Here is a 14,910-nt window from a genome sequence, read left to right on the forward strand (position 1 = left end):
AAGTCCAGAATACCTTCTTTTAAGGCTTCCGTTTCTGCAACAATGAAGTATTAACGCCTCCTGTAAACTAGGTATTTCCTTTCCAATTGTAACTGCCATCTGGAGGCAAAGTAGAATTCTAGTCTATGAGTGTGGGGTTGATTTTTAATGTATCTAGAGTATGGTAAAATGCTGGTTTTTAATCACACAGATACATTGATTGCTTGGCACACTAGGGTACCAGTTGCTAGTTATCTCTGTATTGATCCATGCTGTTACAGAGGGAAAGTACAGACCATGAAGTTGGACCAGCTGTCATACCCACAACATTTGGGGAGCTTTGATTTTTTTTAACCTTTAGCTGCTTAACTGTCACATCTAGAAGCTCAGGTGAAAAGCACCCTTATTGTGGGGACTTTCCCTTAGTGCTCTGTGGCACTAAAGAGCAGACCTATGTAGAAGCATTTAAGTATTTTGTGCATCAACAGGAAAATTAAAGGAACAAATTCTTATTGTATCCTTTAGTCCCTGACGACAAAACCACAGTGACAGTAACTAGGTCATGGCATTGTATTCAGAGAGGGTCAGCCTTGGTATTTGACAGTGAGTCCCCTGTACCCCACTGTCAAGACTCACTGAGCAGACGGGAAAGTTCAGGTGGAACATGCAGTAAAGAGCAAACACGGTGGGGGGCGCTCACTGTCATACACTGCCATGCCTGCCACGGTCAGCAGACCTGTCTTCTATTTGACAACAGGCAAGTTGAGAAACATTTTTTTGGAGAGTTTCTTGATTCTTCCCAGTTGTGGCAGGATGGACTGACTTAGAGGAGCTCAGGAAGGTTGTTAAACAACACAGAAACGCAACATGAATTGTACTCCTCAGCAGGCCTATGTTAGAGCAGCAGGTCCTTGAAGCCTCAGCCACTCCTGGGACACAGCATAATGCCCCTAATGATTTCAAATTTGGTGGAGAGTGGGCTGCTAATCCCAGTGTCCAGGGACAAAAAGAGACATAAACAGCAAAAAGTTATAAAATAAGTGGGCCTAACATCTGCTTATTGTGGGAGGTAGGGATTTAAGGTATAAGAATTTAGCTGCATGTGGAAGCTCACACCTGTAATCTCAGCACTTGAGGAGGTCAACGCAGGAGGACAGCTTGAGCCCAGGAGTTTGACAAGAGCCAGGAAACATACTAAGTCCGCATTCGTTCAAAAATGTTTTGAAGAAAAGTAGTTGAGTGTGGGGACACATGCCTGTAGTCCTAGGTACGTGGGAGCCTGAGACAAGAAAATTGCTTAAGCTTGGGAGATTGACACTGCAATGAGCTGTGATCACAACAATGCACGCCAGCCTGTGAGTCCGGAGACCCGAACCAGCACCCTTAAGCAGGGTCCACCTCCACCTGTAGAAATCGGCCCAAGGAGGTCCTGAGGAAAGGACTCCCGGGAGTCCGGCTCTGGGGGGCCCGAAGCCCCACTCCCACAACGCCCCCTACTACATCCCAGCTCAAGCAAACACCGTGACTGCCACAAAAACCCCCGACCACACATCGCAAAACCTGTTTAAAGGAGCCACAGCCGGACTTTGAAGAGCAAAGCCCGACTCCGCATGGGAAATGCAAATGCGCGAGGCGCCAGCCCATTCTCCAGTCACAGTGACTCCAACAGTTGGCTGAGGACCACTCCTTAAACCTTATCAAAGCAAGAGCACTTTCGGACAGTGCGTCGGTGTTGAGGATCTAGCATGACCAACCCAGGGGGTCGAAAAAACAGTTTCAGGACACCACGATACACTGAGGGCTAACCAGGAAGCAGAAAGAACAGACGGAGTCCTGTGAAAGAAGCGCAACATCCCAGACTCAGGCCTGCCCGGACGGTGTTCGGGTGAGTCTCCCCAGAAGTCGTGCCCGTGAGATCTCCAGGACAGGACTGCCAGCGTGCCCGGGGGCTATTCGCTCACACAAGTTTCGTTCCCGACGAGAGCAGAACCCGGCAGCCACAGGGGTTGCCTGGGGGCCAGTATTTCTATGCCACCCCTGTAGGACTGTGGGTGGGGGTGTCCACCGTGACTGGATGTGTCTTCTAGGAAACGACAGTCTTGAAGAGGAAGCCGGGAATGGGAGATGGCAACAATCCCCGTCCCTGGAACGCCGGCCTCTCTGGACAAGCCACCCGCTTCGCACCCCTCCTCTTATGCCCGTGGCGGTGGCACGGCGCTGTATCCTGCCTGGGCTATGGCCTCTGCTCTGTCGTCCCTCTTGCTCTGTCTCCCCTGTTTCTGAGCGGCCTAGATGCCTCTCGGTCTGGCTGAATATCTTCTACGAAGATCACTTCCCCGTCCATCAGGGAGACACTTCCTGGAGATCCGTGTCATGACTGTTTCTCTCTCCAAGCCTGTTTCTGCTGGATTGCGCAGGTCTGATGACCCTGGGGCTCTTGGCTTCCATACGTGTCTCAGACAGGGAAGCTTCCTCGGTCTCCGTGTTTCACCTCATGGGTGGGTGGATTGCCTAGGATGAGCGAGCGCTAGGCCGGCGAGACTGGCCTTGTCTTCTAGGACAAGTGCATTTCCCCTGCGCTTCCTGTCTCACTCTTGAGGGACATCCTCTCCTCCGCTCACAGGTGGACAGACTCCCTGGATCGTTTGGCTGTAACGAATGTCAGGAAACAAAGGGACTGCGCTGGGACTGGGGCTGGGGCTGCGTGCAGGGGAGGTTGCGTCAGGGCTAGCTGGGTGGTGGAGGGTTGGGGGTGGGGTGACTGTTGCAGAAACCTCTGTGGTCCTCTGGCAGGCATTTCAACATGTGGCTTGGCTGAGGCACAAGCCCCGTCCAGGTTCCCAGGTCTTCTTTGTGTTCCCTTGGCACTCAGGGAAAGGCGACTTGATCCCCTTTCTACCGGGCGCATGCCTGGGCACCACTGTTGCTTTCGCCCTCGCCCCACATGCCTCCGTTGACATACATTCACGCCATCTGCTCTGGTATACGCCAGTGCCAGGCGTGATCGCATTGTCTCCACCTGGGATTCGCCCCGTCCCTGTCTGCACGTGTCCTGGAAAGCGGTGTCGGCTCGCAGGAGCCCCAGGGCTTTTAGAAGCGGGCCAGGCCACTGCTCTTTCAAAGGAGGAGGGAGGCAGAGGGCTCACGGATCAGTGAATTTTCCGCTGACAGCAGGCCTTGAGGGCCATGGGATCATTCTGTGCTGCAGCGAGGCCCTGCCTGCCTCAGCAGATGTGGTGAGCCCATCCTTTCTCGCCCAGAGTGGTCCAAAATCGCATCTGAAGAGGAGTCCTGAGAACCCAGCAGGCGCCCTGAAGCTCCCCGTCCATCGGTGGAAGTCGGCTCAAGGAGGTCCTGAAGACGGGACTCCTGGGGGCTCGGCCCTGGGACACCCGTGGCCCCCTCTCCCACGCGGCCCCAAACTGGACCCCGGATCCAGCCGCAGCCGCGGCTGCAGCAGGCGCGCCCCCTGCCGCCGCGCAGCCGCCCGTATTTAAAGGGGACGCAGCCTGCCTGACTGCCAGCAGCCAAGCGCGAGTCGGCCCAGCCAAAGCGCATGCGCGAGGCGCGCGCCGCTTTTTGCTTCACAGTGCTTCCCACGGTTGTCTTAGGAACCAGTCCCCGAGGCTTGGCAACGCGGGAGCCCTCCGTGGCAGCGCTTGGGTGTCGGGCCTCCGAGGCTCCGGCCTGACCTCTCCACGGGGTCCACAGGAACGTCTCCGGCTGCCAGGAGTCGCAAGGGGCCGAGCAGGATGAGGAAACCACAGGCGGAGTCCGGGGGAAGCAGCGTGGCGTCCCAGCCTCAGGCCTGCCAGGACGGTGTTCGGGTGAGTCTCCCGAGAAGTCGTGCCCCCGTGATCTCGAGGACAGGTCCGCCTGCGTGCCCGAGGGCTGTTCTCTCAGCCGAGGGTTGTTCCCCTCCAGAGCAGAACCCGGCAGCCGCAGGGGTTGCCTGGGGGCGTGTATTGCTCGGCCACCGCGGTAGGACTGTGTGTGGGGCTGTGTCTCCCATTCTCCCTTCTCTCTCTGTCTCTCACCCTCTGTGTGCTTCTTTCCCTCTGTGTGTGTGTGTGTGTGTGTGTTTGTGTGTGTGTGTGTGTGTCTTTGGACGAATGTGCCCTGTGCGTCAAAAAGGGATGTCTTTTATGTGGACCGGTTTTGGTGAGCCTCTTTCTGCGTCTCTCCCTGGGTCCTGCGGCCAGCTGTCCATCGTCTTCGCGGCGGTTCCACTTTGGGTCTGTGCAGGCCTCGATAACGTGAGGGGATGCATCGGGCCCGGAGCAATGGAAGTCTCATCCCCATCCTGAGCGGCCTCTTTTCTAGGATCGAGAGGACCACACTGCAGCCCAGGACAAAAGCCCCACGGTAGCACATTGTCCGGCAGGAGAGGAGCAGACCCACGTCCAAGAAGATGGTTTTACCTTTCCACGCCCCTTCTCTGCGAAATGAAGCCACACCACCACACAGTCTTGAAGAGGAAGCCTGGAATGGGAGACGGCAACAAGCCCCGTCCCTGGAACGCTGGCCTCTCTGGACAAGCCACCCGCTTCGCACCCCTCCTCTTATGCCCGTGGCGGTGGCACGGCGCTGTATCCTGCCTGGGCTATGGCCTCTGCTCTGTCGTCCCTCTTGCTCTGTCTCCCCTGTTTCTGAGCGGCCTAGATGCCTCTCGGTCTGGCTGAATATCTTCTACGAAGATCACTTCCCCGTCCATCAGGGAGACACTTCCTGGAGATCCGTGTCATGACTGTTTCTCTCTCCAAGCCTGTTTCTGCTGGATTGCGCAGGTCTGATGACCCTGGGGCTCTTGGCTTCCATACGTGTCTCAGACAGGGAAGCTTCCTCGGTCTCCGTGTTTCACCTCATGGGTGGGTGGATTGCCTAGGATGAGCGAGCGCTAGGCCGGCGAGACTGGCCTTGTCTTCTAGGACAAGTGCATTTCCCCTGCGCTTCCTGTCTCACTCTTGAGGGACATCCTCTCCTCCGCTCACAGGTGGACAGACTCCCTGGATCTTTTGGCTGTAACGAATGTCAGGAAACAAAGGGACTGCGCTGGGACTGGGGCTGGGGCTGCGTGCAGGGGAGGTTGCGTCAGGGCTAGCTGGGTGGTGGAGGGTTGGGGGTGGGGTGACTGTTGCAGAAACCTCTGTGGTCCTCTGGCAGGCATTTCAACATGTGGCTTGGCTGAGGCACAAGCCCCGTCCAGGTTCCCAGGTCTTCTTTGTGTTCCCTTGGCACTCAGGGAAAGGCCACTTGATCCCCTTTCTACCGGGCGCATGCCTGGGCACCACTGTTGCTTTCGCCCTCGCCCCACATGCCTCCGGTGACATACATTCACGCCATCTGCTCTGGTATACGCCAGTGCCAGGCGTGATCGCATTGTCTCCACCTGGGATTCGCCCCGTCCCTGTCTGCACGTGTCCTGGAAAGCGGTGTCGGCTTGCAGGAGCCCCAGGGCTTTTAGAAGCGGGCCAGGCCACTGCTCTTTCAAAGGAGGAGGGAGGCAGAGGGCTCACGGATCAGTGAATTTTCCGCTGACACCAGGCCTTGAGGGCCATGGGATCATTCTGTGCTGCAGCGAGGCCCTGCCTGCCTCAGCAGATGTGGTGAGCCCATCCTTTCTCGCCCAGAGTGGTCCAAAATCGCATCTGAAGAGGAGTCCTGAGAACCCAGCAGGCGCCCTGAAGCTCCCCGTCCATCGGTGGAAGTCGGCTCAAGGAGGTCCTGAAGACGGAACTCCTGGGGGCTCGGCCCTGGGACACCCGTGGCCCCCTCTCCCACGCGGCCCCAAACTGGACCCCGGATCCAGCCGCAGCCGCGGCTGCAGCAGGCGCGCCCCCTGCCGCCGCGCAGCCGCCCGTATTTAAAGGGGACGCAGCCTGCCTGACTGCCAGGAGCCAAGCGCGAGTCGGCCCAGCCAAAGCGCATGCGCGAGGCGCGCGCCGCTTTTTGCTTCACAGTGCTTCCCACGGTTGTCTTAGGAACCAGTCCCCGAGGCTTGGCAACGCGGGAGCCCTCCGTGGCAGCGCTTGGGTGTCGGGCCTCCGAGGCTCCGGCCTGACCTCTCCACGGGGTCCACAGGAACGTCTCCGGCTGCCAGGAGTCACAAGGGGCCGAGCAGGATGAGGAAACCACAGGCGGAGTCCGGGGGAAGCAGCGTGGCATCCCAGCCTCAGGGCTGTCAGGACGGTGTTCGGGTGAGTCTCCCGAGAAGTCGTGCCCCCGTGATCTCGAGGACAGGTCCGCCTGCGTGCCCGAGGGCTGTTCTCTCAGCCGAGGGTTGTTCCCCTCCAGAGCAGAACCCGGCAGCCGCAGGGGTTGCCTGGGGGCGTGTATTGCTCGGCCACCGCGGTAGGACTGTGTGTGGGGCTGTGTCTCCCATTCTCCCTTCTCTCTCTGTCTCTCACCCTCTGTGTGCTTCTTTCCCTCTGTGTGTGTGTGTGTGTGTGTGTTTGTGTGTGTGTGTGTGTGTCTTTGGACGAATGTGCCCTGTGCGTCAAAAAGGGATGTCTTTTATGTGGACCGGTTTTGGTGAGCCTCTTTCTGCGTCTCTCCCTGGGTCCTGCGGCCAGCTGTCCATCGTCTTCGCGGCGGTTCCACTTTGGGTCTGTGCAGGCCTCGATAACGTGAGGGGATGCATCGGGCCCGGAGCAATGGAAGTCTCATCCCCATCCTGAGCGGCCTCTTTTCTAGGATCGAGAGGACCACACTGCAGCCCAGGACAAAAGCCCCACGGTAGCACATTGTCCGGCAGGAGAGGAGCAGACCCACGTCCAAGAAGATGGTTTTACCTTTCCACGCCCCTTCTCTGCGAAATGAAGCCACACCACCACACAGTCTTGAAGAGGAAGCCTGGAATGGGAGACGGCAACAAGCCCCGTCCCTGGAACGCTGGCCTCTCTGGACAAGCCACCCGCTTCGCACCCCTCCTCTTATGCCCGTGGCGGTGGCACGGCGCTGTATCCTGCCTGGGCTATGGCCTCTGCTCTGTCGTCCCTCTTGCTCTGTCTCCCCTGTTTCTGAGCGGCCTAGATGCCTCTCGGTCTGGCTGAATATCTTCTACGAAGATCACTTCCCCGTCCATCAGGGAGACACTTCCTGGAGATCCGTGTCATGACTGTTTCTCTCTCCAAGCCTGTTTCTGCTGGATTGCGCAGGTCTGATGACCCTGGGGCTCTTGGCTTCCATACGTGTCTCAGACAGGGAAGCTTCCTCGGTCTCCGTGTTTCACCTCATGGGTGGGTGGATTGCCTAGGATGAGCGAGCGCTAGGCCGGCGAGACTGGCCTTGTCTTCTAGGACAAGTGCATTTCCCCTGCGCTTCCTGTCTCACTCTTGAGGGACATCCTCTCCTCCGCTCACAGGTGGACAGACTCCCTGGATCTTTTGGCTGTAACGAATGTCAGGAAACAAAGGGACTGCGCTGGGACTGGGGCTGGGGCTGCGTGCAGGGGAGGTTGCGTCAGGGCTAGCTGGGTGGTGGAGGGTTGGGGGTGGGGTGACTGTTGCAGAAACCTCTGTGGTCCTCTGGCAGGCATTTCAACATGTGGCTTGGCTGAGGCACAAGCCCCGTCCAGGTTCCCAGGTCTTCTTTGTGTTCCCTTGGCACTCAGGGAAAGGCCACTTGATCCCCTTTCTACCGGGCGCATGCCTGGGCACCACTGTTGCTTTCGCCCTCGCCCCACATGCCTCCGGTGACATACATTCACGCCATCTGCTCTGGTATACGCCAGTGCCAGGCGTGATCGCATTGTCTCCACCTGGGATTCGCCCCGTCCCTGTCTGCACGTGTCCTGGAAAGCGGTGTCGGCTTGCAGGAGCCCCAGGGCTTTTAGAAGCGGGCCAGGCCACCGCTCTTTCAAAGGAGGAGGGAGGCAGAGGGCTCACGGATCAGTGAATTTTCCGCTGACAGCAGGCCTTGAGGGCCATGGGATCATTCTGTGCTGCAGCGAGGCCCTGCCTGCCTCAGCAGATGTGGTGAGCCCATCCTTTCTCGCCCAGAGTGGTCCAAAATCGCATCTGAAGAGGAGTCCTGAGAACCCAGCAGGCGCCCTGAAGCTCCCCGTCCATCGGTGGAAGTCGGCTCAAGGAGGTCCTGAAGACGGGACTCCTGGGGGCTCGGCCCTGGGACACCCGTGGCCCCCTCTCCCACGCGGCCCCAAACTGGACCCCGGATCCAGCCGCAGCCGCGGCTGCAGCAGGCGCGCCCCCTGCCGCCGCGCAGCCGCCCGTATTTAAAGGGGACGCAGCCTGCCTGACTGCCAGGAGCCAAGCGCGAGTCGGCCCAGCCAAAGCGCATGCGCGAGGCGCGCGCCGCTTTTTGCTTCACAGTGCTTCCCACGGTTGTCTTAGGAACCAGTCCCCGAGGCTTGGCAACGCGGGAGCCCTCCGTGGCAGCGCTTGGGTGTCGGGCCTCCGAGGCTCCGGCCTGACCTCTCCACGGGGTCCACAGGAACGTCTCCGGCTGCCAGGAGTCACAAAGGGCCGAGCAGGATGAGGAAACCACAGGCGGAGTCCGGGGGAAGCAGCGTGGCATCCCAGCCTCAGGCCTGCCAGGACGGTGTTCGGGTGAGTCTCCCGAGAAGTCGTGCCCCCGTGATCTCGAGGACAGGTCCGCCTGCGTGCCCGAGGGCTGTTCTCTCAGCCGAGGGTTGTTCCCCTCCAGAGCAGAACCCGGCAGCCGCAGGGGTTGCCTGGGGGCGTGTATTGCTCGGCCACCGCGGTAGGACTGTGTGTGGGGCTGTGTCTCCCATTCTCCCTTCTCTCTCTGTCTCTCACCCTCTGTGTGCTTCTTTCCCTCTGTGTGTGTGTGTGTGTGTGTGTGTGTTTGTGTGTGTGTGTGTGTGTCTTTGGACGAATGTGCCCTGTGCGTCAAAAAGGGATGTCTTTTATGTGGACCGGTCTTTGGTGAGCCTCTTTCTGCGTCTCTCCCTGGGTCCTGCGGCCAGCTGTCCATCGTCTTCGCGGCGGTTCCACTTTGGGTCTGTGCAGGCCTCGATAACGTGAGGGGATGCATCGGGCCCGGAGCAATGGAAGTCTCATCCCCATCCTGAGCGGCCTCTTTTCTAGGATCGAGAGGACCACACTGCAGCCCAGGACAAAAGCCCCACGGTAGCACATTGTCCGGCAGGAGAGGAGCAGACCCACGTCCAAGAAGATGGTTTTACCTTTCCACGCCCCTTCTCTGCGAAATGAAGCCACACCACCACACAGTCTTGAAGAGGAAGCCTGGAATGGGAGACGGCAACAAGCCCCGTCCCTGGAACGCTGGCCTCTCTGGACAAGCCACCCGCTTCGCACCCCTCCTCTTATGCCCGTGGCGGTGGCACGGCGCTGTATCCTGCCTGGGCTATGGCCTCTGCTCTGTCGTCCCTCTTGCTCTGTCTCCCCTGTTTCTGAGCGGCCTAGATGCCTCTCGGTCTGGCTGAATATCTTCTACGAAGATCACTTCCCCGTCCATCAGGGAGACACTTCCTGGAGATCCGTGTCATGACTGTTTCTCTCTCCAAGCCCGTTTCTGCTGGATTGCGCAGGTCTGATGACCCTGGGGCTCTTGGCTTCCATACGTGTCTCAGACAGGGAAGCTTCCTCGGTCTCCGTGTTTCACCTCATGGGTGGGTGGATTGCCTAGGATGAGCGAGCGCTAGGCCGGCGAGACTGGCCTTGTCTTCTAGGACAAGTGCATTTCCCCTGCGCTTCCTGTCTCACTCTTGAGGGACATCCTCTCCTCCGCTCACAGGTGGACAGACTCCCTGGATCTTTTGGCTGTAACGAATGTCAGGAAACAAAGGGACTGAGCTGGGACTGGGGCTGGGGCTGCGTGCAGGGGAGGTTGCGTCAGGGCTAGCTGGGTGGTGGAGGGTTGGGGGTGGGGTGACTGTTGCAGAAACCTCTGTGGTCCTCTGGCAGGCATTTCAACATGTGGCTTGGCTGAGGCACAAGCCCCGTCCAGGTTCCCAGGTCTTCTTTGTGTTCCCTTGGCACTCAGGGAAAGGCCACTTGATCCCCTTTCTACCGGGCGCATGCCTGGGCACCACTGTTGCTTTCGCCCTCGCCCCACATGCCTCCGGTGACATACATTCACGCCATCTGCTCTGGTATACGCCAGTGCCAGGCGTGATCGCATTGTCTCCACCTGGGATTCGCCCCGTCCCTGTCTGCACGTGTCCTGGAAAGCGGTGTCGGCTTGCAGGAGCCCCAGGGCTTTTAGAAGCGGGCCAGGCCACCGCTCTTTCAAAGGAGGAGGGAGGCAGAGGGCTCACGGATCAGTGAATTTTCCGCTGACAGCAGGCCTTGAGGGCCATGGGATCATTCTGTGCTGCAGCGAGGCCCTGCCTGCCTCAGCAGATGTGGTGAGCCCATCCTTTCTCGCCCAGAGTGGTCCAAAATCGCATCTGAAGAGGAGTCCTGAGAACCCAGCAGGCGCCCTGAAGCTCCCCGTCCATCGGTGGAAGTCGGCTCAAGGAGGTCCTGAAGACGGGACTCCTGGGGGCTCGGCCCTGGGACACCCGTGGCCCCCTCTCCCACGCGGCCCCAAACTGGACCCCGGATCCAGCGGCAGCCGCGGCTGCAGCAGGCGCGCCCCCTGCCGCCGCGCAGCCGCCCGTATTTAAAGGGGACGCAGCCTGCCTGACTGCCAGGAGCCAAGCGCGAGTCGGCCCAGCCAAAGCGCATGCGCGAGGCGCGCGCCGCTTTTTGCTTCACAGTGCTTCCCACGGTTGTCTTAGGAACCAGTCCCCGAGGCTTGGCAACGCGGGAGCCCTCCGTGGCAGCGCTTGGGTGTCGGGCCTCCGAGGCTCCGGCCTGACCTCTCCACGGGGTCCACAGGAACGTCTCCGGCTGCCAGGAGTCGCAAGGGGCCGAGCAGGATGAGGAAACCACAGGCGGAGTCCGGGGGAAGCAGCGTGGCATCCCAGCCTCAGGGCTGTCAGGACGGTGTTCGGGTGAGTCTCCCGAGAAGTCGTGCCCCCGTGATCTCGAGGACAGGTCCGCCTGCGTGCCCGAGGGCTGTTCTCTCAGCCGAGGGTTGTTCCCCTCCAGAGCAGAACCCGGCAGCCGCAGGGGTTGCCTGGGGGCGTGTATTTCTCGGCCACCGCGGTAGGACTGTGTGTGGGGCTGTGTCTCCCATTCTCCCTTCTCTCTCTGTCTCTCACCCTCTGTGTGCTTCTTTCCCTCTGTGTGTGTGTGTGTGTGTCTTTGGACGAATGTGCCCTGTGCGTCAAAAAGGGATGTCTTTTATGTGGACCGGTCTTTGGTGAGCCTCTTTCTGCGTCTCTCCCTGGGTCCTGCGGCCAGCTGTCCATCGTCTTCGCGGCGGTTCCACTTTGGGTCTGTGCAGGCCTCGATAACGTGAGGGGATGCATCGGGCCCGGAGCAATGGAAGTCTCATCCCCATCCTGAGCGGCCTCTTTTCTAGGATCGAGAGGACCACACTGCAGCCCAGGACAAAAGCCCCACGGTAGCACATTGTCCGGCAGGAGAGGAGCAGACCCACGTCCAAGAAGATGGTTTTACCTTTCCACGCCCCTTCTCTGCGAAATGAAGCCACACCACCACACAGTCTTGAAGAGGAAGCCTGGAATGGGAGACGGCAACAAGCCCCGTCCCTGGAACGCTGGCCTCTCTGGACAAGCCACCCGCTTCGCACCCCTCCTCTTATGCCCGTGGCGGTGGCACGGCGCTGTATCCTGCCTGGGCTATGGCCTCTGCTCTGTCGTCCCTCTTGCTCTGTCTCCCCTGTTTCTGAGCGGCCTAGATGCCTCTCGGTCTGGCTGAATATCTTCTACGAAGATCACTTCCCCGTCCATCAGGGAGACACTTCCTGGAGATCCGTGTCATGACTGTTTCTCTCTCCAAGCCTGTTTCTGCTGGATTGCGCAGGTCTGATGACCCTGGGGCTCTTGGCTTCCATACGTGTCTCAGACAGGGAAGCTTCCTCGGTCTCCGTGTTTCACCTCATGGGTGGGTGGATTGCCTAGGATGAGCGAGCGCTAGGCCGGCGAGACTGGCCTTGTCTTCTAGGACAAGTGCATTTCCCCTGCGCTTCCTGTCTCACTCTTGAGGGACATCCTCTCCTCCGCTCACAGGTGGACAGACTCCCTGGATCTTTTGGCTGTAACGAATGTCAGGAAACAAAGGGACTGCGCTGGGACTGGGGCTGGGGCTGCGTGCAGGGGAGGTTGCGTCAGGGCTAGCTGGGTGGTGGAGGGTTGGGGGTGGGGTGACTGTTGCAGAAACCTCTGTGGTCCTCTGGCAGGCATTTCAACATGTGGCTTGGCTGAGGCACAAGCCCCGTCCAGGTTCCCAGGTCTTCTTTGTGTTCCCTTGGCACTCAGGGAAAGGCCACTTGATCCCCTTTCTACCGGGCGCATGCCTGGGCACCACTGTTGCTTTCGCCCTCGCCCCACATGCCTCCGGTGACATACATTCACGCCATCTGCTCTGGTATACGCCAGTGCCAGGCGTGATCGCATTGTCTCCACCTGGGATTCGCCCCGTCCCTGTCTGCACGTGTCCTGGAAAGCGGTGTCGGCTTGCAGGAGCCCCAGGGCTTTTAGAAGCGGGCCAGGCCACCGCTCTTTCAAAGGAGGAGGGAGGCAGAGGGCTCACGGATCAGTGAATTTTCCGCTGACAGCAGGCCTTGAGGGCCATGGGATCATTCTGTGCTGCAGCGAGGCCCTGCCTGCCTCAGCAGATGTGGTGAGCCCATCCTTTCTCGCCCAGAGTGGTCCAAAATCGCATCTGAAGAGGAGTCCTGAGAACCCAGCAGGCGCCCTGAAGCTCCCCGTCCATCGGTGGAAGTCGGCTCAAGGAGGTCCTGAAGACGGAACTCCTGGGGGCTCGGCCCTGGGACACCCGTGGCCCCCTCTCCCACGCGGCCCCAAACTGGACCCCGGATCCAGCCGCAGCCGCGGCTGCAGCAGGCGCGCCCCCTGCCGCCGCGCAGCCGCCCGTATTTAAAGGGGACGCAGCCTGCCTGACTGCCAGGAGCCAAGCGCGAGTCGGCCCAGCCAAAGCGCATGCGCGAGGCGCGCGCCGCTTTTTGCTTCACAGTGCTTCCCACGGTTGTCTTAGGAACCAGTCCCCGAGGCTTGGCAACGCGGGAGCCCTCCGTGGCAGCGCTTGGGTGTCGGGCCTCCGAGGCTCCGGCCTGACCTCTCCACGGGGTCCACAGGAACGTCTCCGGCTGCCAGGAGTCACAAGGGGCCGAGCAGGATGAGGAAACCACAGGCGGAGTCCGGGGGAAGCAGCGTGGCATCCCAGCCTCAGGGCTGTCAGGACGGTGTTCGGGTGAGTCTCCCGAGAAGTCGTGCCCCCGTGATCTCGAGGACAGGTCCGCCTGCGTGCCCGAGGGCTGTTCTCTCAGCCGAGGGTTGTTCCCCTCCAGAGCAGAACCCGGCAGCCGCAGGGGTTGCCTGGGGGCGTGTATTGCTCGGCCACCGCGGTAGGACTGTGTGTGGGGCTGTGTCTCCCATTCTCCCTTCTCTCTCTGTCTCTCACCCTCTGTGTGCTTCTTTCCCTCTGTGTGTGTGTGTGTGTGTGTGTGTGTTTGTGTGTGTGTGTGTGTGTCTTTGGACGAATGTGCCCTGTGCGTCAAAAAGGGATGTCTTTTATGTGGACCGGTCTTTGGTGAGCCTCTTTCTGCGTCTCTCCCTGGGTCCTGCGGCCAGCTGTCCATCGTCTTCGCGGCGGTTCCACTTTGGGTCTGTGCAGGCCTCGATAACGTGAGGGGATGCATCGGGCCCGGAGCAATGGAAGTCTCATCCCCATCCTGAGCGGCCTCTTTTCTAGGATCGAGAGGACCACACTGCAGCCCAGGACAAAAGCCCCACGGTAGCACATTGTCCGGCAGGAGAGGAGCAGACCCACGTCCAAGAAGATGGTTTTACCTTTCCACGCCCCTTCTCTGCGAAATGAAGCCACACCACCACACAGTCTTGAAGAGGAAGCCTGGAATGGGAGACGGCAACAAGCCCCGTCCCTGGAACGCTGGCCTCTCTGGACAAGCCACCCGCTTCGCACCCCTCCTCTTATGCCCGTGGCGGTGGCACGGCGCTGTATCCTGCCTGGGCTATGGCCTCTGCTCTGTCGTCCCTCTTGCTCTGTCTCCCCTGTTTCTGAGCGGCCTAGATGCCTCTCGGTCTGGCTGAATATCTTCTACGAAGATCACGTCCCCGTCCATCAGGGAGACACTTCCTGGAGATCCGTGTCATGACTGTTTCTCTCTCCAAGCCTGTTTCTGCTGGATTGCGCAGGTCTGATGACCCTGGGGCTCTTGGCTTCCATACGTGTCTCAGACAGGGAAGCTTCCTCGGTCTCCGTGTTTCACCTCATGGGTGGGTGGATTGCCTAGGATGAGCGAGCGCTAGGCCGGCGAGACTGGCCTTGTCTTCTAGGACAAGTGCATTTCCCCTGCGCTTCCTGTCTCACTCTTGAGGGACATCCTCTCCTCCGCTCACAGGTGGACAGACTCCCTGGATCTTTTGGCTGTAACGAATGTCAGGAAACAAAGGGACTGCGCTGGGACTGGGGCTGGGGCTGCGTGCAGGGGAGGTTGCCTCAGGGCTAGCTGGGTGGTGGAGGGTTGGGGGTGGGGTGACTGTTGCAGAAACCTCTGTGGTCCTCTGGCAGGCATTTCAACATGTGGCTTGGCTGAGGCACAAGCCCCGTCCAGGTTCCCAGGTCTTCTTTGTGTTCCCTTGGCACTCAGGGAAAGGCCACTTGATCCCCTTTCTACCGGGCGCATGCCTGGGCACCACTGTTGCTTTCGCCCTCGCCCCACATGCCTCCGGTGACATACATTCACGCCATCTGCTCTGGTATACGCCAGTGCCAGGCGTGATCGCATTGTCTCCACCTGGGATTCGCCCCGTCCCTGTCTGCACGTGTCCTGGAAAGCGGTGTCGGCTTGCAGGAGCCCCAGGGCTTTTAG

The 14,910-nt window shown here is 59.7% G+C and overlaps 2 long non-coding RNA genes across 2 annotated transcripts; both read left to right on the plus strand.

Moving 5' to 3' along the window:
- The first annotated feature begins 3,754 nt into the window (after positions 1 to 3,754).
- Positions 3,755 to 4,712, plus strand: LOC105377824 (uncharacterized). The gene is made up of 2 exons (XR_942184.2): positions 3,755 to 3,806; positions 4,303 to 4,712. It is a non-coding gene; the product is annotated as an uncharacterized LOC105377824 (long non-coding RNA).
- Positions 4,713 to 10,582: 5,870 nt separating this feature from the next.
- Positions 10,583 to 14,518, plus strand: LOC107987246 (uncharacterized). The gene is made up of 3 exons (XR_001752818.1): positions 10,583 to 10,921; positions 13,153 to 13,268; positions 13,770 to 14,518. It is a non-coding gene; the product is annotated as an uncharacterized LOC107987246 (long non-coding RNA).
- The last annotated feature ends 392 nt before the right edge of the window (positions 14,519 to 14,910 follow it).

The sequence above is a fragment of the Homo sapiens genome, chromosome 17 (genome assembly GCF_000001405.40).
Source record: "Homo sapiens chromosome 17, GRCh38.p14 Primary Assembly".
Taxonomy (NCBI): Eukaryota; Metazoa; Chordata; class Mammalia; order Primates; family Hominidae; genus Homo; species Homo sapiens.